The 19,823-nt window shown below is 53.6% G+C and overlaps 2 protein-coding genes across 4 annotated transcripts, besides 9 other annotated features; both read left to right on the forward strand.

Annotated features, from left to right (window-relative positions):
- Positions 5 to 913: an enhancer, noted in NCBI's record as "H3K4me1 hESC enhancer chr17:7341479-7342387 (GRCh37/hg19 assembly coordinates)". NCBI's record gives its function as "activates a minimal SCP1, AML or CMV promoter by ChIP-STARR-seq in primed H9 embryonic stem cells {active_cell/tissue: H9 hESC(primed)}" and the evidence as "EXISTENCE:reporter gene assay evidence [ECO:0000049][PMID:30033119]".
- Positions 81 to 180: a silencer, noted in NCBI's record as "silent region_8118". NCBI's record gives its function as "represses an Ori minimal core promoter by ATAC-STARR-seq in GM12878 lymphoblastoid cells {active_cell/tissue: GM12878}" and the evidence as "EXISTENCE:reporter gene assay evidence [ECO:0000049][PMID:35858748]".
- Positions 143 to 6,782, forward strand: FGF11 (fibroblast growth factor 11). Of its 3 annotated transcripts, none has more exons than NR_130156.2 (5): positions 143 to 375; positions 3,316 to 3,426; positions 3,621 to 3,724; positions 4,439 to 4,637; positions 4,921 to 6,782. NR_130156.2 is itself a non-coding variant. In NM_004112.4 (5 exons), the coding sequence occupies exons 1-5, from the start codon at positions 1,466 to 1,468 to the stop codon at positions 4,989 to 4,991; spliced, it is 678 nt and encodes a 225-aa protein (NP_004103.1). In that variant the 5' UTR covers positions 1,357 to 1,465; the 3' UTR covers positions 4,992 to 6,782. The 3 variants fall into 3 exon arrangements, 2 of the variants coding, with proteins under 2 accessions (NP_004103.1, NP_001290389.1); NM_004112.4 differs by lacking the exon at positions 143 to 375 and adding an exon at positions 1,357 to 1,658; NM_001303460.2 differs by lacking the exon at positions 143 to 375 and adding an exon at positions 2,613 to 2,661 and having other exon boundaries at positions 3,296 to 3,426.
- Positions 1,167 to 1,700: an enhancer, noted in NCBI's record as "H3K4me1 hESC enhancer chr17:7342641-7343174 (GRCh37/hg19 assembly coordinates)". NCBI's record gives its function as "activates a minimal SCP1, AML or CMV promoter by ChIP-STARR-seq in naive H9 embryonic stem cells {active_cell/tissue: H9 hESC(naive)}" and the evidence as "EXISTENCE:reporter gene assay evidence [ECO:0000049][PMID:30033119]".
- Positions 1,459 to 1,558: a silencer, noted in NCBI's record as "silent region_8119". NCBI's record gives its function as "represses an Ori minimal core promoter by ATAC-STARR-seq in GM12878 lymphoblastoid cells {active_cell/tissue: GM12878}" and the evidence as "EXISTENCE:reporter gene assay evidence [ECO:0000049][PMID:35858748]".
- Positions 2,469 to 2,578: a silencer, noted in NCBI's record as "silent region_8120". NCBI's record gives its function as "represses an Ori minimal core promoter by ATAC-STARR-seq in GM12878 lymphoblastoid cells {active_cell/tissue: GM12878}" and the evidence as "EXISTENCE:reporter gene assay evidence [ECO:0000049][PMID:35858748]".
- On the forward strand, positions 6,906 to 19,555 carry CHRNB1 (cholinergic receptor nicotinic beta 1 subunit). The gene is made up of 11 exons (NM_000747.3): positions 6,906 to 7,030; positions 7,115 to 7,254; positions 7,914 to 7,958; positions 8,678 to 8,787; positions 8,888 to 8,996; positions 9,348 to 9,495; positions 10,424 to 10,633; positions 16,142 to 16,365; positions 17,129 to 17,301; positions 17,639 to 17,786; positions 18,428 to 19,555. Exons 1-11 carry the CDS (start codon positions 6,973 to 6,975, stop codon positions 18,566 to 18,568), a joined length of 1,506 nt encoding a protein of 501 aa, NP_000738.2. The 5' UTR covers positions 6,906 to 6,972; the 3' UTR covers positions 18,569 to 19,555.
- Positions 6,978 to 7,027: a silencer, noted in NCBI's record as "silent region_8121". NCBI's record gives its function as "represses an Ori minimal core promoter by ATAC-STARR-seq in GM12878 lymphoblastoid cells {active_cell/tissue: GM12878}" and the evidence as "EXISTENCE:reporter gene assay evidence [ECO:0000049][PMID:35858748]".
- Positions 17,536 to 18,037: an enhancer, noted in NCBI's record as "H3K4me1 hESC enhancer chr17:7359010-7359511 (GRCh37/hg19 assembly coordinates)". NCBI's record gives its function as "activates a minimal SCP1, AML or CMV promoter by ChIP-STARR-seq in naive H9 embryonic stem cells {active_cell/tissue: H9 hESC(naive)}" and the evidence as "EXISTENCE:reporter gene assay evidence [ECO:0000049][PMID:30033119]".
- Positions 17,565 to 17,644: an enhancer, noted in NCBI's record as "active region_11621". NCBI's record gives its function as "activates an Ori minimal core promoter by ATAC-STARR-seq in GM12878 lymphoblastoid cells {active_cell/tissue: GM12878}" and the evidence as "EXISTENCE:reporter gene assay evidence [ECO:0000049][PMID:35858748]".
- Positions 17,725 to 17,884: an enhancer, noted in NCBI's record as "active region_11622". NCBI's record gives its function as "activates an Ori minimal core promoter by ATAC-STARR-seq in GM12878 lymphoblastoid cells {active_cell/tissue: GM12878}" and the evidence as "EXISTENCE:reporter gene assay evidence [ECO:0000049][PMID:35858748]".

Raw genomic sequence — 19,823 nt, forward strand, 5'->3', positions numbered from 1 at the left:
AGTCCGCACTCTCTACCTCCAAGGAACCCCGGGGTTCCTCCTGCCCGGCTTCACCCTCCTATTTCCCAGCGTCTCCGCCCCCTGCCCCGCCCCCGGGCCGGCTCTCCGAGGAGGGGGAACTGCTGTCGCCGCCGCCGCCGCCGCCTCAGCTTCCCACAGCCGCTGCCGCTGCCGCCGCTCTGCCTGGTCCAGCCACCGGCCCAGTGCTCTGACTTCGCCGGACCGGGGAGCTCTGCAGAGACACCCTCACTCCTTCCCGAGGGTCCGGGACGCCTAGCCGGGCGTGGGGGGAAGCTCCGTTTGCGGGGGACAGGGAGGGAGGAGCCTGGAGCCGAAGCCAGCGCCACCCGTCGCCGGATCAACAGGACAGGACAGGTTGAGGGGCGTCGGGAAAAGGAAGAGGGGGTGCTATAGGCAATCCCGGGGAGGACGAGGAAGCCCTGTAGCAGGAAGCTGTGATCCGCTCTGACTTGTAGGGGGCCTGTTCACATCTGGGGACTGGTGACAACGTGGGTGCACTCCTCTCTTGGGGGGCTGGTTAGATTGGAGGGCGTGGGATCTAAACAGCACCAGCTGTCCCCAAGAAAATTTAAGGGGCAGCCAGGGGAGAAAAAAACAAAAACAAAAACAAACACGGATGCTCCTCATTTTGAGGTGGCGGAAGGCCCTCCAGTCAACTACCTGGTGTATCCACTAGGAAGGGTGGATTTGGAGGTGACTTCAAAAGGAGCGGAGGGTGTGAAGGTGAAGAAAGGGTCTTGGCCGCTAGAATTCTATGCTACTAGACATGGGGGGGACTTGGTGAAAAAGGTATTATCCAGCCAGAGGGTCTGGGAGCCCTGTCTTACTGAACCTGGGCAACCTGGATATTCTGAGACATATTTTGGGGGGATTTCAGTGAAAAAAGTGGGGGATCCCCTCCATTTAGAGTGTAGCAAAGGAAAAAACACCAAGGTTGGGTTCCTTCCTGACATTGGCAGTGCCCCAGTAGGGGTGGGATGAGCGAATATTCCCAAAGCTAAAGTCCCACACCCTGTAGATTACAAGAGTGGATTTGGCAGGAGTGTGCCCCAAAATACAGTGGAAAGGTGCCTGAAGATATTTAAACCACGTCTTGGAAATTTAGTGGGTCTTGGCTTTGGGATAGGTGAAGTGAGGACAGACACTGGAGAGGAGGGAAAGGGGACGTTTTCAATAGGAGGCAAAACTCGAGGGTGGGATCCACTGAGGAGTACATAGGCTGCTGGATCTGGTGGAGCCAGCACTGGGCCCACGGGTGGTAACTGGCTGCTGTGGAGGGGGGTACGTGAGGGGGGGGGTCTGGGGCTTATCCTCAGGTCCTGTGGGTGGGGCAGCGAGTCGGGGCCTGAGCGTCAAGAGCATGCCCTAGTGAGCGGGCTCCTCTGGGGGAGCCCAGCGCGCTCCGGGCGCCTGCCGGTTTGGGGGTGTCTCCTCCCGGGGCGCTATGGCGGCGCTGGCCAGTAGCCTGATCCGGCAGAAGCGGGAGGTCCGCGAGCCCGGGGGCAGCCGGCCGGTGTCGGCGCAGCGGCGCGTGTGTCCCCGCGGCACCAAGTCCCTTTGCCAGAAGCAGCTCCTCATCCTGCTGTCCAAGGTGCGACTGTGCGGGGGGCGGCCCGCGCGGCCGGACCGCGGCCCGGGTGAGTGCGGCTGGGGCGGGGTCTCCCGGCCAGAGGTTTCTCTGCCTGGGAGATTGAGGCCAGGGACTCTGAAGAATAGGGCCCGGCTGAGGGGCTCCCCGAAAGTGGAAGGGGGTGGGCCAGGACGACAAAGTCCCTGCCAGACTGTGCCTCAGTTTCCCTTCTCTTTTGTCCATAACCCGGAGTCTCCTTATTTTCGAGGTCAAGGGGAAGGCTTGAGGGGCTGCCTGGCGCCCCGAAAGCCTCGTAGTTCCTGCTCGTCCCCCCTTCCCAACACAGCAGTCCCCACCCCCATCGTCCTCCGCCTACGTGCCGGTTCTCGCGATTCTTTCAATCTGGAGCGGAGGGGCCCGGGGGTTTCCAGATGCCTGGGTCACCCCAAGGATTTCTGCAGCTCCAGCCGCACGCCCCCCCCCAGCCCCCGCCTGCCCCGGTTCTCCCGCTCCTCCACGCCTGGGCTCGGTTCCTCCTGGTCGAGCTCTGCTGGCTCCGAGCCAATCTCCCCAGCTCTCCCTCGGGTGTCCTTGCAGCTACCTCGCCAGCCAGCCCTCTATGCGCCCTCCTCCTGTGACCTGCGCTTCAAGAACGGAGCTGGGCACCCCTCCCATAACCCCCGCGCCACTCCGAAATCGGGTCCCGTAGGCTCAGGGGACCCTACGCTGGCAGGAACTCAGACACAGTTCACGGCTAGAGATGGGCGCCGACTCGGGGGTCGTACCACCTACAAGGGGGGACAGGGAAGTCGGCAGAGAGCAAGCGATGGGGGAGGAGAGTTGTGAGAGTTAGAATTGGTCCCCGTCCATGTACGACAGTCAGGGAGTCCCTCTGGCCCTGCTCCCGCCCGCTCCCAGCTCCCCTAAGGGTAGCCACCTCGCGCCCTCCTCCCCGCGCCACCGGCTGCCCATAGTGGTACAATCCGCAGCCCACCCTCTGAGTAGGACCGGGCCCCCACGTGACTCAGCCTGCCTCTCCATCTCCTCAGCTCCCACCCCCCATATCCTTGGTAAGGTCCCCCTTACCCCAGGCGAGTTACCTGGCCGAAGGGGAGAGGCTGAGCCTCAGGGAGAACTGGGCCCCCGGGAGCCAGCGGACTGACAGACAGACAGACAGACAGACAGATGGGTCAGTGTCAGACAGGCCGGCGCTGGGCCAAGGCAAGGCTCTCGCCAAGCTAGCGGCAGCCGCAGCAGGTGCTGAGTCAGCGTCAGGCCCAGTCCCACCCCCACTCCTGAGGGAGAGCCCCTACCCTGTGGTCAATTTGCTGCTGCCAAGATCCCCCACCTTCGCAAACACGCTGCCCCTTCAGTACCCCTGCTGGTCTCCCTCTGTCCCTGCCTTTTGATATATCTCTCCCCTCCCTCCTCCCCCACTCCTTCCCCCTTCTGGTTGAGCTGTAGGGTAGGAATTAAGCCATTTAAATAAATTTCAATAAATTACACTGAAAGCTCCTGGTTATAGGAAACAGAAGGGACCCACACCAGCTTTCCCAGGAGTGAAAGAGAGGTGGGAGAGAGCGTGCTTGGAGGATAAGAGAGCTGGGGCCCTGGGACCCTCTTCCTTCCTTTCATTCTCCTTTCTTCCCTCTAATCCTGCCAAGTGTAGGAATGTTTCTGGGAACGGAGATGTCATTTTCAAAGATGAATGTCTCTCTCTCCAGAGCCTCAGCTCAAAGGCATCGTCACCAAACTGTTCTGCCGCCAGGGTTTCTACCTCCAGGCGAATCCCGACGGAAGCATCCAGGGCACCCCAGAGGATACCAGCTCCTTCAGTGAGAGGGGAAGCTGGCTGCAGGGTGGGAAGGGGGAGAATGGGGACAGGAGATGACAATCCTATTCCCTCTTCAGCTTCTGTTGCCATTGATCCGTCTTCCTGACCTCTAAGGGAAAAAGTGGAGCTGGGATGAGGGGAGCTCAGGTGAGGGTCAGAGGCCTGGGTATTGATGCTCCCTCTCTCCACCTGCAGCCCACTTCAACCTGATCCCTGTGGGCCTCCGTGTGGTCACCATCCAGAGCGCCAAGCTGGGTCACTACATGGCCATGAATGCTGAGGGACTGCTCTACAGTTCGGTGAGACAATGAGGCTGAGTGGCCGGGAAATACTGGGGACTCCCCTTCCTCAATTTGTCCCTTGAGGGAATGACAACCTTCCTCAACTACAGACATTTTGCCCGGGACTCCTCCCTCCAGCTTTGCTGATGGCCTGTCATCGCTGCCCATTCCAGACCAGCTCCTCTAGGGTCTCTCCAGTCCCCACTCCTTGCACACCCCCAAAACAGCCCCAGGTTCTTTGAATGTCCAACTCTTTCTGCCTTTTAGGGCCCCTACTTCTTATCCCACCTCCTCCAGATTTTGTCATTACTCACTTCCCTAGAGTCATCCAGGATAGGGGATAGTGAGAGACTGGGAGTACAGTGGAGAGAAGGAATCTTATTGCAAGACCCCTAAAAGTCTAGTTCTTTTTTTTTTTTTTAAATAGTGACAGGGTCTTGCTATGTTGGCCAGGCTGGTCTGGAACTCCTGACCTCAGGTGATCCACCCGCCTCGGCCTCCCAAAGTGTTGGGATTATAGGCATGAGCCACTGTGCTTGGCCCAGAGCCTAGTTCTTAGCCCTCAGCCCTCTTCCTTGTCCTCCCTTTGCTCCCAGGTCCTACATGGACTCAGAAGTTGTCCTCCCCCTCCCCCAAAAAGGATTTGTGCTTTCCATGAGCTCCTTTCTGCCCAGTGATGTGTCTTTTTATCTCTCTGTCTTTGTGCGCCTTTCTGGGTCTTTGTCTCCTTAGCCGCATTTCACAGCTGAGTGTCGCTTTAAGGAGTGTGTCTTTGAGAATTACTACGTCCTGTACGCCTCTGCTCTCTACCGCCAGCGTCGTTCTGGCCGGGCCTGGTACCTCGGCCTGGACAAGGAGGGCCAGGTCATGAAGGGAAACCGAGTTAAGAAGACCAAGGCAGCTGCCCACTTTCTGCCCAAGCTCCTGGAGGGTGGGTATAGACTCAAGAAAATGTGGGCCACAGGAGAGGGTATTGACCTTGATATGGACATTTAGGGGCAGACAGCTCAGGCTACAAGTGATAAGAGGACCCTTTGTGACAGATCAAGCCAGGAAGGCTTTGCCCTTTGGGGGTTTGGGTGCGGTCCTCCTGTGGGGTTGGGGTTCTTGGAGGGTGAATGTACGGGAAGGGAGCCCTTTTGGAGCACTGGTTCTGCCTGGGTCCCTCTGTGCCTAACTCTCCTTCCCTGCTCCTCTCTTTCTCCCCTTCACAGTGGCCATGTACCAGGAGCCTTCTCTCCACAGTGTCCCCGAGGCCTCCCCTTCCAGTCCCCCTGCCCCCTGAAATGTAGTCCCTGGACTGGAGGTTCCCTGCACTCCCAGTGAGCCAGCCACCACCACAACCTGTCTCCCAGTCCTGCTCTCACCCCTGCTGCCACACACATGCCCTGAGCAGCCAGGTCCCACTAGGTGCTCTACCCTGAGGGAGCCTAGGGGCTGACTGTGACTTCCGAGGCTGCTGAGACCCTTAGATCTTTGGGCCTAGGAGGGAGTCAGAGAGGGGGATGTCTGAAGATGGTCCTGGCTGATCACTTCTTTCTTTCCACACTCACACAACGCCATGCCTTTTCCTGAGATGGCGCTGGGAGTTCCCACATGGACAGCCAGGGCATAAACACTTCCCACCCCGGCTCAGCCAGTTCCTGGAGTCCTGTGCCCCTTTTCATTGCCACTGAGCCATTTCTAGATTCACTGGAGCTCAGGATTCATGTGTCCTTCTTTCCCTACTCTACCTTCTACCTTGGTCTGGACACATTCTGGAACACTGGACACCCTCGCCAGGGCCACTTCTGCACTAGGGCTCTGTGCTGGAACCCAGGCATGCTGCCAGCCTTTTCTCTGGATCTGTCAGGCCTCTGTCATTGACTCAGATGGACCCCTGGTTTCCAAGTAGAAAGAGGCTAGATTTGGGCCTTGTCTAGCTGTTGGCTTTGGCCTGAACCGGAACCAGTCTCAGATGACCACGGGTTTAACCTTCTTATCCCAGAGACACCCAATTCTAGAGCTTTATGGAGCCGTACTTCCCCCTGAATCCTAGCTCTAGGACATAGATCATGACTCTCAGCCCTTTTACCCAGGATGGAGCTGGGGCCTGTATAGCCATATTATTGTTCTAAGTAAGTTCTAGCCCCACCCTCCCGCCTTCTTGAGTGATACCTATTACGGATGAGTTCTGGAAAAGACCCAGCTATGATTCATAAAAACACTTCTGGATGAATCAAGAACCATTTCTTGTTTTTCCTAGATAATTCTCTAAAAATATGATTCTTCCATATAGAATGCTAAGCTTATTTTTACATGCAGTTTCTAGCTCCTTCAACCCAGCTGAGGTCGTGCCAGGGAGACAGAGTCTGGAGAAGGGCAGAGGAATTTTGGAAGGATCCCTGGCTCATAGTAGGGAAGCTGGGATGGGGGAGGGGTCAAAATTATGGCATGACTGAACCTGCATCTGTGTTGGGTGGACATGAATACTTAGCTACCTCAGCAGGAATTCCTTCCAGGTCCCCTTTAAAGCTGAGGTCCTTAGAGTAATATGTCCTTAATAAAAAGGACAAATGGATACAGCCTTGACCCTCCCAGTGAGGAGACCCCAATTCAGCAATAAGTCTCACCCTTCTCCCCTACAGGTCAGGCCAAGAAGGGTGAAGGCCTCTTGCACTCCAGACCTCATACGCCCCAACAGCTTCTAATTGGATAGAACTTGCTTTACCTTACAGCTCACAACCTCAGCTGGGTTTTAGGTACCCAAAAAGGGCCTGTCTAGATTTTTTCAGAAAAACGTGGAGTGCTAGGGGCAGCCTGGAAAAGATGGGGAACCTGCTAGTGAACTAGGAGGGAGACTTCCATAGCCTCAGACTTGGATAGGGTAGGCTGAGGGGGCCCTAAGGGAGGGACTAAGGCTCCAAGGCAGGTCACTTTTCCTTAGGCTGTTCTACTTCTGGCTTGTTGCAAGAGGAGTAGATGCCCCCTCACCCACACAAACCCCACTCAGTCTCCACCCAACTCCTGGCACTGCTCCCAGGGGATCGGGTCTCCACTCCAGCTTTCTCAATTAAAGACGATTTATACAACTGAAGTGCTGTCTGTCATCTGTCGGTGGCGGGCTTGGCAGTTGCTCGAGGCAGGATCAAGTCCCGGGGGCGGGGCGGGTGGGCTGGCGGCTGTCCTCCAGCAACAGGTGCACATTCCCGGGCTCCTCGTCACTTCCCCTGTGCTGGCGGTCCCAGCGGCTCTCTGAGCGAAGTCACTGAGCGAGCCGCCAGGCTATGACCCCAGGGGCTCTGCTGATGCTGCTGGGGGCGCTGGGGGCGCCGCTCGCCCCAGGTAAGTGTAGGCCCCGAAGGGGCAGTGACGGGGCCAGCGGTCGTGGCCAGGCACCAGGGCTGCACTTATTCTCTCCTCCCCCAGGCGTCCGCGGCTCGGAGGCGGAGGGTCGACTCCGGGAGAAACTTTTCTCTGGCTATGATAGCTCCGTGCGGCCAGCGCGGGAGGTGGGAGACCGTGTCAGGGTCAGCGTTGGTCTCATCCTGGCGCAACTCATCAGCCTGGTGAGGGCGCGCGGGGGGTGGAGGTCAGGCCAGCCGACCGGCCGGGGGCGTGGCTTTAGGCAAGGCCGGACCAGGGACAGGCTGGGGGCGGGGCCTGGGACGAGACCAGGCTGAGATGGACCAGCCTTTGGTGAAGATTGGATCGAAATCAGACCAATGGACAAGCTCTGGCCGTGGGTGGTGGACGGGCCTGGAGTAGAACTGGGTAGGGTGAAGGACGGACCTGTGATCGGACCTTAAAGTGGGGCTGGGGACGAGGCAGGGGCTGGGGGACGGACCTCGACGTAGGGCCACATGAGTCCTGAGTGCCCAGGGTGGGGCGGAGCTTGGTGCTCAGGGGTCAATAAATGGCAGCGGGTGGAGGTTCGGGGCTGGGTGGATTATGAGCTGAAGGCAGGGCCGGGGACAGAGCTAGGCGGAGGGCTAGGCAGGGGCGGGTCTGGTAGGTTGATAGGCTGGGAGTGTAGACGGCAGGAAGAGGTGTTTCTGAGATAGAGGCAGGTCTTAAACTAACGCCGCTTCTGGGAGGTGGACTTGGACCCGAGAGGATGGGGCTCAGAAAAAGGGGGCGGCGTTCCCAGGAGAGAGGTTGGCCCCCCGAGCCCCCTCATTTCTCTCCACCCTACTTCACCTTTACGCCTTAAATTTTTCCCTTCTAGAACGAGAAGGATGAAGAGATGAGCACAAAGGTGTACTTAGACCTGGTATGGAGACCCCACGGGGTGGGAAAGGGCTTCCCTCTGCCTTGACAATTTCCTTGAATATCCAGCCCAGTAAGAATATTTTTTACATCATGACTTTAGATAACACGTTTATAACTGAAGCAAAAGCTCGAAGAAACAACACTTAACTTTACTACAGGAGTTACACCCCATGCATTTTTAATTCCAATTTTGTGTGTGTGTGTGTGTGTGTGTCTGTGTGTGTGTGTGTGTGTGTGTGTGTGTGTGTGTGTGTGTGTGTGATGCGGTCTCACTATGTTGCACAGGCTGTTCTTGAATGCGGGGGCTCGAGCCATCCACCAGCCTCGGGGGGAACCTCCACAAGTGCTGAGATTACAGCCGTGAGCCACTGCACCTGGCCCATTCTAATTTTTGAAACACTGGTTTGGGGCCGCTAATTTCATTCCCCATCCACTAAAGGATTGCGAACTGCAGTTTGAAAACCGTTTTAGAGGCTAGCTACTGCAGCCTCCTCATTTTTACAGAGTAAAATATTGAAACCCGGTGCGGGGGAGGGAAATTAGCTGATGTGGATCCCAGCGAGTGAAGGCGGAGCCAGAGCCAGAACCACGGCCCCTTGACCCACAGTTTATGCCTGTCCTGCTCCCCTTCCTTGCACTCCCTTCCTGGGCTTCCTTTGGAAATCCCAAGTCCCTCCCGGCCTCCAACCCGGGGCAGCCCCTCAGCCTCTGCTTCACTAGGAGTGGACTGACTACAGGCTGAGCTGGGACCCTGCGGAGCACGACGGCATCGATTCGCTCCGCATCACGGCGGAATCCGTGTGGCTCCCTGACGTGGTGCTACTGAACAAGTAGGAGAACTTCCAAAGCCCGGGAGGTGGCGCGGGGCCTCGGGGGGCGGGGGGCCTCCGGGCGCGGGGCCTGATCCCTGATGAGATCCCTTCTCTGCAGCAATGATGGGAATTTTGACGTGGCTCTGGACATTAGCGTCGTGGTGTCCTCCGACGGCTCCGTGCGTTGGCAACCCCCGGGCATCTATCGCAGCAGCTGCAGCATCCAGGTTTCCGGCCTCCACATTGGAAGCTGAAGGAGCTCTTACAAATCCTCCCTTTCCTTAGACATCCTGACTCCCCGGCGACTCCCATCCTTCATCCTTCCCCCATTATCTAATCCCCATGACCCTCACCTCGTCTACCCTCCTGGTTTTCCATTGAGTGTTCTGTACACTTTCTTTGACTTCTAGTCTTACTCAGTGACCGCCCTCCCCATCCCTCCCCCATTAATGGCTTCCCTTCATAACCCTCCAATTCCTCCATGATTTCCCTTCTCTGTGCCCTCCCCAAAGACCTCCCAAACTCCACCAGCGCTGACTGGTTCTCTGGCAGCTCTAGTGACTCTCTCCTCCATCCAGGTCACCTACTTCCCCTTCGACTGGCAGAATTGCACTATGGTGTTCAGCTCCTACAGCTACGACAGCTCGGAGGTCAGCCTGCAGACAGGCCTGGGTCCTGACGGGCAAGGGCATCAGGAAATCCACATTCATGAAGGGACTTTCATTGGTGAGTAGGCATGGCTCCTACATCCATGGGCTCTATCATTTCCAGCTTCTAACAGACTCATAAATATACTGTCAGTGATGCCCAATATAGCCCTGTGGGGTCAGCAGGATGGGTATGGCTATCTACATTTTAAAAGTATGGAAATTGCCGGGGGCAGTGGTTCATGCCTGCAATCCCAGTACTTTGGGAAGCCGAGGCGGGCGGATCATTTGAGGTCTGGAGTTCGTGACCAGCCTAACGTGGTGAAACCCCGTCTCTACTAAAAATGCAAAAAATTAGCCAGTCATGGTGGCAGATGCCTGTAATCCCAGCTACTTGGGAGGTTGAGGCAGGAGAATCGCTTGAACCTGGGAGGTGGAGGTTGCGGTGAGCCGAGATGGCGCCACTGCACTCCAGCTTCGGTAACAGAGTGAAAGTTCGTCTCAAAAAAAAAAAAAAAAAAAAAAAAAAAAGGGCCTGGCGCAGTGGCTCACGACTTAATCTCAGTATTTTGGGAGGTGGAGGCGGGCAAATCACCTGAGGTCAGGAGTTCGAGACCACCCTGGCCAACATGGTGAAACCCCGTCTCTACTAAAAATACAAAAAATTAGCCAGGTGTGGTGGTGGACACCTGTAATCCCAGCTACTTGGGAGGCTGAGGCAGGAGAATCACTTGAACCTGGGAGGCGGAGGTTGCAGTGAGCCGAGATCACGCCACTGCACTCCAACCTGGGCAACAAGAGCAAAACTCTGTCTCAAAATAAATAAATAAAAATATGGAAATTGAGACTTGCCCAAGTTTATTAGAGATGGGCTACTCAGCCCAGTTTTCACAGCTAGTTTCATCAAGTCAGCCCTCTCAGGTCTAGGCTGTGGCAGAGCAAGCCATACCTGGCACTAACCAGGACAGCTCTCACATCTGTGTTCCCCTCCTTCTGCTCATCCCCAGAGAATGGCCAGTGGGAGATTATCCACAAGCCCTCTCGGCTAATCCAGCCTCCAGGCGATCCTAGGGGAGGGAGGGAAGGACAGCGCCAGGAAGTCATCTTCTACCTCATCATCCGCCGCAAGCCTCTCTTCTACCTGGTCAACGTCATTGCCCCATGCATCCTCATCACTCTTCTGGCCATCTTCGTCTTCTACCTGCCACCAGATGCAGGTAATGGGGGAAGGGGCTCCTTACTCTTTTGTCATTGGCTCAGCTTCTTACTCTTTATCCTTAATCCAGGCAGGGTTTTCCTGCCAATCCAAAGCATCATAGATTGGGCTTCAGCAATCCCGCCCAGGCTCTGCCTCCCGTTGACTGCCACCTTTCCTCCGCTCAGTGAAACTGGAACTCTTTCCTAATAGGAGTCCTAGCCTCTAATCCATAAAGCCTTTACTCCTCTGAACCACAAACCTCCAGGCTTAGATAGCTCTCCCATTCCCTTTCCCAACATTCCCTGCCCACTTTCAGACTCCCACTACTCCTTTAATTTTTTTTTTTTTTTTTGAGATGGAGTCTCACTCTGTCACCCAGACTGGAGTGCAGTGGTGCAATCTCGGCTCACTGCAAGCTCTGCCTCCCGGGTTCACGCCATTCTCCTGCCTCAGCCTCCCGAGTAGCTGGGACTACAGGTGCCCGCCACCACGCCCGGCTAATTTTTTGTATTTTTAGTAGAGACGGAGTTTCACCGTGTTAGCCAGAATGGTCTCGATCTCCTGACCTCATGATCTGCCCGCCTCGGCCTCCCAAAGTGCTGGGATTACAGTCGTGAGCCACAGGGCCCGACCTTTTTTTTTTTTTTTTTTTTTTTGAGACAGAGTCTTGCTCTTTTGCCCAGGCTGGAGTGCAGTGGTGTGATCATGGCTTGCTACAGCCTCAAACTCTTGGGCTCAAACAATCCTCCCACCTCAGCCTCCTGTGTAACTGAGACCACAAGCACCCACAATCATGCCCAGCTGATTTTTTTGTATTTTTGGTAGAGAAAGGGTTTCACCATGTTGCCCAGCCTGGTCTGCAACTCCTGAACTCAAGCGATCTGTTCGCCTCAGCCTCCCAACGTACTGGGCTTATAGGCATGAGCCACCGCGCTCGGCCCCCACTAGTCCTTTAACCTCCTATCTCCCTGGGAAATATATAATAGTAATAGCCACCGGGCGCGGTGGCTCACGCCTGTAATCCCAGCACTTTGGGAGGCCGAGGTGGGTGGATCACGAGGTCAGGAGATTGAGACCATCCTGGCTAACATGGTGATACTCTATGTCTACTAAAAACACAAAAAATTAGCCAGGTGTGGTGGCGGGCGCCTGTAGTCCCAGCTACTTGGGAGGCTGAGGCAGGAGAATGGCGTGAACCCGGGAGGCGGAGCTTGCAGTGAGCCGACATTGTGCCACTGAACTCCAGCCTGGGAGACAGACTCTGTCTCAAAAAATAAATAAATAAATAAATAAATAAATAAATAAATAAATAATAGTAATAGTCAACATATCTTTAGGAGGCAGCAAAATAGGATAACTTTTGGCAAATTCCTTAATCTTTTTTTTTTTTTCGAGACAGAGTTTTGCCCCGTTGCCCAGGCTGGAATGCAGTGGCATGATCTTGGCTCACTGCAACCTCCACCTCCTGGGTTCAAGCGATTCTCCTGCTTCAGCCTCCTGAGTAGCTGGGATTACAGGTGCCCACCACCATGCCTGCCTAATTTTTGTAGTTTTAGTAGAGATGGGGTTTCACTATGTTGGCCAGGCTGGTCTCGAACTCCTGACCTCAGTGATCCACCTGCCTCAGCCTCCCAAAGTGCTAGGATTATAGGCATCAGCCACCACACCTGGCCAAATTCCTTAATCCCTATGTGTCTCAGTTTCCTGATCTGGAAGTGGGCCAACCATTGTCCCTACCGCCTAGAATTATTTTGAGGATTGACAGAGTTAATAGAACTATGCCTGGCACCCAGTAAGTTCTATGTAAGCACTGGGTTTTGGGTTGTTTTTTGTTTTTCTTTTTTGAACACTTGCTATAAGGTAATTCATTTAACATGGTACATGTACTAATTCTAAACTTTACAACAATCCTGTGAGGTAAGTAACGAATTGTCATTCTCATTTTACAGTGGAGGATAAAGAGGCTGAAGGAGTTTAAGTCATTTGCCTGAAATCATTACACAGTTAGAGAGGGGCAGTGTTGCAATTCCAACCTGGGTCAGTGGCAGTCTGATTCAGAGACCTGATATCCTTAGCTCTGGTATTCAAAACATGCTTTCCTCCTCTCTGCCATCAAATCCTTTGTCTAAAGAAGGAAAGCAGGCTGGGCGTGGTGGCTCACACCTGTAATCCCAGCACTTTGGGAGGCTGGGGCTGGTGGATCACCTGAGGTCAGGAGTACTCAAGAAACAGAAAGGAGGCCAGTAGAACTGAATGAAGTAAGCAGAGGGGAAAGCAGTAGGAGATGAAGTCAAGGAGCTCATGGGAAGGACCTATAGACCATAACCAGCTGCGTTTCAAAGGGACTCTAGACCCAGGAAGGCCCAGAACCACTGATGCTGAGTAACACCCTTGGCCTTCTGGTCTGAGTTGCTATGGCCTTGGGCATGCTAGAACAGGCAAGTGAGTTTCACTGGGGCATGTGTTGGGTGGATGTTTCAGGTTCTTTTCTTTTCTTTTCTTTTCTTTTTTTTTTTTTTTTTTTTGAGACAGAGTCTTGCTCTGTCTCCCAGGCTGGCATGCAGTGGCGCGATCTCGGCTCACTGCAACCTCCACCTCCCAGGTTCAAGCAATTCTCCTGCCTCAGCCTCCCTCCCCGGTAGCCGGGATTACAGACATGAGCCACCATGCCTGAGTAATTTTTCTATTTTTAGTAGAGATGGGATTTCTCCATGTTGGCCAGGCTAGTCTCAAACTCCTGACCTAAAATGATCCACCCGCCTTGGCCTCCCACAGTGCTGGGATTACAGGTGTAAGCCACCCCGCCCAGCCTGTTATGTTTTTTAACGTTGGTCTTTCGGCCACCAAGAGCCCAGGAAGGCCACATGCACAGCTCTGCCAGGTGCAGCCCAGGTGTCCAGGGCTCTCTGGTCCAGGACACCATGGCCTGGTGTGCCCTTATCTCCAGGCCTGAAGCCCCACCTGTCCAACCTGGAGACAGCTATGCAAGGTTCTCTTGCCAGGTGCTGTTTAATCTTGGGCCCTCCAGGGCCTGGAGCAGCTTCCAGGGCCCGTCCTCCATGCCCCCACCCAAGGACGTCCTCACTCCAGCAAGCTCAGCTACATGCTCAGCAGTCAGGGCCACTGAGGCCACAGCCCCGCCGCCACCCACACCAGGCTGTCCTAGAGGGCCACCCCAGCCCTGGAAGCCCCCTCAACCCCTGCTTTCATGCAGGAGAGGGGGAGCCACTGGAAGGTTCTGGAAAGAGGAATAATATGATCTGATTCTATTTCTTTCTTTCCTTTTTCTTTTTTTTTTTTTTTTTAGATACAGTCCCTGTCTGTCACCCAGGCTGGAGTGCAGTGGCACGATCTTGGCTCACTGCAACCTCCGCCTCCCGGGTTCAAGCGATTATTCTGCCTCAGCCTCCCGAGTAGCTGGGATTCCAGTCACACACCACGATGCCCAGCTAAATTTTTTGTAATTTAAGTAGAGATGGGGTTTCGCTATGTTGGCCAGGCTGGTCTCGAACTTCTGACCTCAGGTGATCTGACCGCCTCAGCCTCCCAAAATGCTAGGATTACAGGCATGAGCCACCGCACCCAGCTTGATTTATATTTTAACAAAATCAGTCTGGCTGCTCGGTTGAGAACAGTCAGCATGGGAGAAAAGGATGGAGCAAAGAGACCAGTTAGGAGGGCTTTACAATAATTCAGACCTAAGGTAATGTGCTTTAGAGCAAGGTGGTGATGTAGGAGGTGGGACTCGACTCCAGACCAAATTGAGGACCAGCTAGAACAGGAACAGGGCAGATGCAGCTTTCCATAAGACATACTCACGAGTGTGCCATGTCAGTTTACCATTGCCATGGAAACACCTGGGAGTTACCACCCCTTTGGCAATCACCTGATGACACAGAAGTTACTGCCCTTTCCCTAGAAATTTCTGCCTAATCCGTTGCTTAATCTGCATGCAATTAAACGTAGGTATAGGCCAGGCGTGGTGGCTCACGCCTGTAATCCCAGCACTTTGGGAGGCTAAGGTGGGCAGATCCCTTAAGGTCAGGAGTTCAAGACCAGCCTGGCCAACATGGTGAAACCCTGTCTCTACTAAAAATACAAAAAGTTAGCCAAGTGTGGTGCCATGCACCTGTAATCCCAGCTGCTCGGGAGGCTAAGACAGGAGAACTGCTTGAACCCAAGAGGCAGAGGTTGCAGTGAGCTGCAATCACGCCACTAAACTCCAGCCTGGGTGACAGAGTGAGAGTCTGTCTAAAAATAAATAAATACATAAGAGATAGGGAAGACTATCAGAGGAGTAGCTTTGGTAGTAAGATAATTTAGTTTTGGACATTTTGTTTTATTTTGTTTCTGCTTTTGTTTTTTGAGATGGAGTTTTGCTCTTGATGCCCAGGCTGGAGTGCAATGGCACGATCTCGACTCACTGCAACCTCTGCCTCCTGGGTTCGAGTGATTCTCCTGCCTCAGCCTCCCTAGTAGCTGGGACTACAGGCACCCACCACCATGCCCAGCTAATTTTTTGTATTTTTAGTAGAGATGGGGTTTCACTATGTTGGCCAGGCTGGTCTCGAACCCCTGACCTCAGGTGATTCGCCTGCCTCGGCCTCGCAAAGTGCTGGGATTACGGGTGTGAGCCACTGTACCCGGCTCAGTTTTGGACATGTTAAGCTTGAAATATTTATTAGACATCCAACTATCCAAGAGAGGTTGAGTAGGCAGATGGATATATATCTGGCATTCAGGGGAGAAGTCCAGGGTGGACATACAAATGTAGGAATGATTTACATGCAGATGGCCCTTCCAAAAGCCTGTCTTTTTTTTTTTTTTTTTTTTTTTATGATGGAGTTTTGCTCTGTTGCTCAGGCTGGAAGGCAGTGGTGCCATCACAGCTCACTGCAGCCTCCATCTTCCACACTCAAGCAGTCCTCCCAACTCAGCCTCTCAAATAGTTGGGACCACAAGCATGCGCCATTGTGCCTGGCTAATTTTTTTTTTTTTCTTTTTGTAGAGGTTGGGCAAAGTGGCTCACGCCTGTAATCCCAACAGTTTGGGAGGCCAAGGTGGGTGGATCACTTGAGCTCAGGAGTTTGAGACCAGCCTGGGTAACATGGTGAAATCCTGTCTCTACAAAAAGTACAAAAATTAGCTGGGCATGGTGGCGTGCACCTGTAGTCCCAGCTACTCAGGAGGCCGAGGTGGGAAGACCACTTGAGCCTGGGAAGTGGAGGTTTCAATGAGCCATTATCATGCCACTGCACTCCAGCCTGGGTGACAGAGCAAGACCCAGCCTCAAATTTGTTTTTGTAGAAAAGAGGTCTCCCTATGTTGCTCAGGCTGGTCTGAAACTCCTGGGCTCAAGCAATCCTCCCACCTTGGCCTCCCAAAGTGCCAGGACTACAGGTGTGAACCACTGTGCCTGGCTGTAGAAATCTGTCTTTGAATGGCCTGGAAACATGGTCACTGATTATGCCATAGAGCTTTCCTTCAGGCAAGTCTAATCCTTCTCTCTTCCCCTCTGCCCTCCAAGGAGAGAAGATGGGGCTCTCAATCTTTGCCCTGCTGACCCTTACTGTGTTCCTGCTGCTGCTGGCTGACAAAGTACCTGAGACCTCACTATCAGTACCCATTATTATCAAGTACCTCATGTTTACCATGGTCCTCGTCACCTTCTCAGTCATCCTTAGTGTCGTGGTTCTCAACCTGCACCACCGCTCACCCCACACCCACCAAATGCCCCTTTGGGTCCGTCAGGTAAGAAAGATCTCCTCCTCCAACCCCAATTTTCCTTTTACAGACCATAGGGAGAACTATAGCTATGTGGCAGAGTGTTGAAGTGTCCAAGCTTGTTGAGTGTTGAAATGTTGCACAGTTAAGCTAGCCCCCATCATTATCATTTCACAGATCCCATACTCTCTTCATCAATACTGCCCATCTCGGGTCCCAGGGAAATATTCTTAGGGTTAGGTACTATCAGATTGGAAGCCCTCTCTTTCCAGTTGGGATACCTCCCAACCCACTAAATAGCTTTTTTTTTTTTTTTTTTTTTTTTTTGAGATGGAGTTTTGTTCTTGTGGCCAGGCTGGAGTGCAATGGCACAATCTCAGCTCACTGCAACCTTCACCTCCCAGGTTCCAGCGATTCTCCTGCCTGAGCCTCCCAAGTAGCTGGGATTACAGGCACCCGCCACCACGCCCAGCTAATTTTTGTATTTTTAGTAGAGAGAGGGTTTCACCATGTTGGCCAGGCTGGTCTTGAACTCCTGACCTCAGGTGATCCACCTGCCTTGGCTTCCCAAAGTGCTGCGATTACAGGCGTGAGCCACCGCGACAGGCCCAACCCACTAAAGAGCTCTTAGGTCTGTGTGGCTGCATTTCCTTGTGTAGCTCGTTTGTGGAAGAATATGCACGCACATACTCACGCGCGGGAATGGGCATGTGGAGTGGGGTGGTTGGCTGTTTCCCTTCTGGTCTGAAAGCATGAAAGCCCCCACCAATACGCCTCTTCTACTCTGCAGATCTTCATTCACAAACTTCCGCTGTACCTGCGTCTAAAAAGGCCCAAACCCGAGAGAGACCTGATGCCGGAGCCCCCTCACTGTTCTTCTCCAGGAAGTGGCTGGGGTCGGGGAACAGATGAATATTTCATCCGGAAGCCGCCAAGTGATTTTCTCTTCCCCAAACCCAATAGGTAGGACTACGCCCGTTACCCACATAAGAGGGAGAGGGAGAACTACAGTTCCCAGAAGAGTGTGCGGAAGAAGCGGCCCATGCTCTCGGAAGACGCTGTGGTTGAGCATCATGGGAGTTGTAGTACTCCTGCTGCTCACTTTGAGGGGAGGTGGGAACTAAAACAGAGGCGGTGGAAGAAGTTGCACAAGGCTAGAGAGATCACTGCTGGAGGGAAAAGCATGATGGGCTCTCGGGTTTTGAGAACTGGCAAGTTGTTGGAGGCAGCTGGAGCGGGGCCTGGGTCGCCGGCACTGGCTGTCTTTGCGTTTGGGCGTGGCCAGTCACTCCTCTTCCAGGTTCCAGCCTGAACTGTCTGCCCCTGATCTGCGGCGATTTATCGATGGTCCAAACCGGGCTGTGGCCCTGCTTCCGGAGCTACGGGAGGTCGTCTCCTCTATCAGCTACATCGCTCGACAGCTGCAGGAACAGGAGGACCACGATGCGGTATGTCCAACGGGGGTGGAACAAGGCCAGGTCTAGGCGACCTTGGCCCCACCCCCAAATTCCGCACCAGCACTCGCTTTCGTTTTTTTTGTGTGGTTTTTTTTTGGCTTTTTTTTTTTTTTTTTTTTTTTGAGACAGAGTCTCGCTCTGTCGCCCAGGCTGGAGTGCAGTGGCTCGATCTCGGCTCACTGCAACCTCCGCCTACGGGTTCAAGCGATTGTCCTGCCTCAGCCTGCCGAGTAGCTGGGACGACAGGGGCGCGCCACCACGCCTGGCTAATTTTTGTATTTTTAGTAGAGACGTGGCTTCACCATGTTGGCCAGGCTGGTCTGAAACTCCTGACCTCAGGTGATCCGCTCGCTTCGGCCTCCCAAAGTGCTGGGATTACAGGCGTGAGCCACCGCGCCCGGCCTCGCTTTCGTTTCTGATTGGACCTCTCCCTCATTTGGTCCCACCCCCTGCTTACCTACTGGTTCTTTATGCCCATGCATTGCCTGCAGTCTCGCTCTCCTGTTGGCGCTGCCGGCTGTTGCCTCAAACCAGTGGTAGGAGGACTCAAGCGGGTAGCGGGCGGGGAAATGGGGGGGTTTCCCTGGGGGTCTGGGCCCAGAGCTCAGGAAGTTTCCTTTGCCTACCCACAGCTGAAGGAGGACTGGCAGTTTGTGGCCATGGTAGTGGACCGCCTCTTCCTGTGGACTTTCATCATCTTCACCAGCGTTGGGACCCTAGTCATCTTCCTGGACGCCACGTACCACTTGCCCCCTCCAGACCCCTTTCCTTGAAGACTGGAGGGTTGAGACCCAGGCCCCCTGCCAGTTGAAGTGAGAGTTTGGTGATACTGTCAAGCCCTATCCTTCTCTGCCTCTTAACTCCTTCACGAGGAATCTGGGCCTCTTATTTCGTTTCTGGGGACTGCATTGGACTGAGGGCTGGGTAGGCAGGTGTCTTGGACCCACCTGAAATGCAGTATCATCTGATTTACTCTTTGGGATCTTGAAGAAGCTCTTTTGGGTATCAACACCTAGGTCGCCAGTGAAATAGAACACAGAACAGGAACTAGATTATAAGCCTTATGAGGTCAAGAAATGTGACTTGGCCGGGCGCGGTGGCTCACGCCTGTAATCCCAGCACTTTGGGAGGCCAAGGCGGGCGGATCACCTGAGGTCGGGAGTTTGAGACCAGCCCGACCAACATGGAGAAACCCTGTCTCTACTAAAAATACAAAATTAGCCAGGTGTGGTGGTACATGCCTGTAATCCCAGCTACTAGGGAGGCTGAGGCAGGAGAATCACTCGAACCCGGGAGGCAGAGGTTGCAGTGAGTCAAGATCACGCCATTGCACTCCAGCCTGGGCAACAAGAGCGAAACTCCATCTCAAAAAAAAAAAAGTGTCTTGTTCACTGCAGCATGCCCAGTGCCACGCACAGGTGCTGACCTATAGTAAGTGCTTAACATTTGTTGAATAGGGGAAAGAAATTTCCGGAAGTAAATACAGCAATTAATAATGTTTATAAGCTGGGCATGGTCGCTCAGGCCAGTAATCCCAGTGACTTAGGAGGCTGAGGTGGGAGGATTACTTGAAACCCACAGTTTGAGACCAGCCTGGGCAACATAGTGAGACCCTGTCTCTAAAAAAATAAAAATAGAAATAAAGTAGTGCTTATTGTTTGCATGTTGGGTCTTGTGGTCGTTTTCTTTTTACCTTTCTGTAATTTATTATGTTTTGTAATGTGTACTATCTCTGGGATTAAAAAAAGTTATTTCTACAAGCATGCATTGGTAATGAGAAAAAACAAGCGTTTTGAAGGCCTTCATTCAAGTTCCAACCTTGGTGCTCACACAAGCCACTAGCTTGCTCTGTACTTGTTTCGACATCTGTAAAATGAAACTAATGATAGCATATGCCCTATAGGATTGTCTGGGGATCACAGGAGATGGGAAAAAAGCACTATGCGATATGTATCAGAGGTTGCAACGGTGTGTTTTTTGTTTGGCCTGCACAGTTTTAAATTTGAACTAGTTCACTACTTTTATTTT

The sequence above is a fragment of the Homo sapiens genome, chromosome 17, assembly GCF_000001405.40.
Source record: "Homo sapiens chromosome 17, GRCh38.p14 Primary Assembly".
NCBI lineage: Eukaryota > Metazoa > Chordata > Mammalia > Primates > Hominidae > Homo > Homo sapiens.

Excerpts from the sequence above, each read along its gene's own strand:
- FGF11 (NM_004112.4), top strand. The coding sequence starts at position 1,466 with ATGGCGGCGCTGGCCAGTAGCCTGATCCGGCAGAAGCGGGAGGTCCGC. Across the intron at positions 1,659-3,315 it reads GCGGCCGGACCGCGGCCCGG|AGCCTCAGCTCAAAGGCATC; the intron begins GTGAGTGCGGCT and ends CTCTCTCTCCAG. Across the intron at positions 3,725-4,438 it reads AGGGACTGCTCTACAGTTCG|CCGCATTTCACAGCTGAGTG; the intron begins GTGAGACAATGA and ends TTGTCTCCTTAG.
- CHRNB1 (NM_000747.3), top strand. The coding sequence starts at position 6,973 with ATGACCCCAGGGGCTCTGCTGATGCTGCTGGGGGCGCTGGGGGCGCCG. Across the intron at positions 17,302-17,638 it reads CTCTTCCCCAAACCCAATAG|GTTCCAGCCTGAACTGTCTG; the intron begins GTAGGACTACGC and ends CTCCTCTTCCAG. Across the intron at positions 17,787-18,427 it reads AACAGGAGGACCACGATGCG|CTGAAGGAGGACTGGCAGTT; the intron begins GTATGTCCAACG and ends GCCTACCCACAG.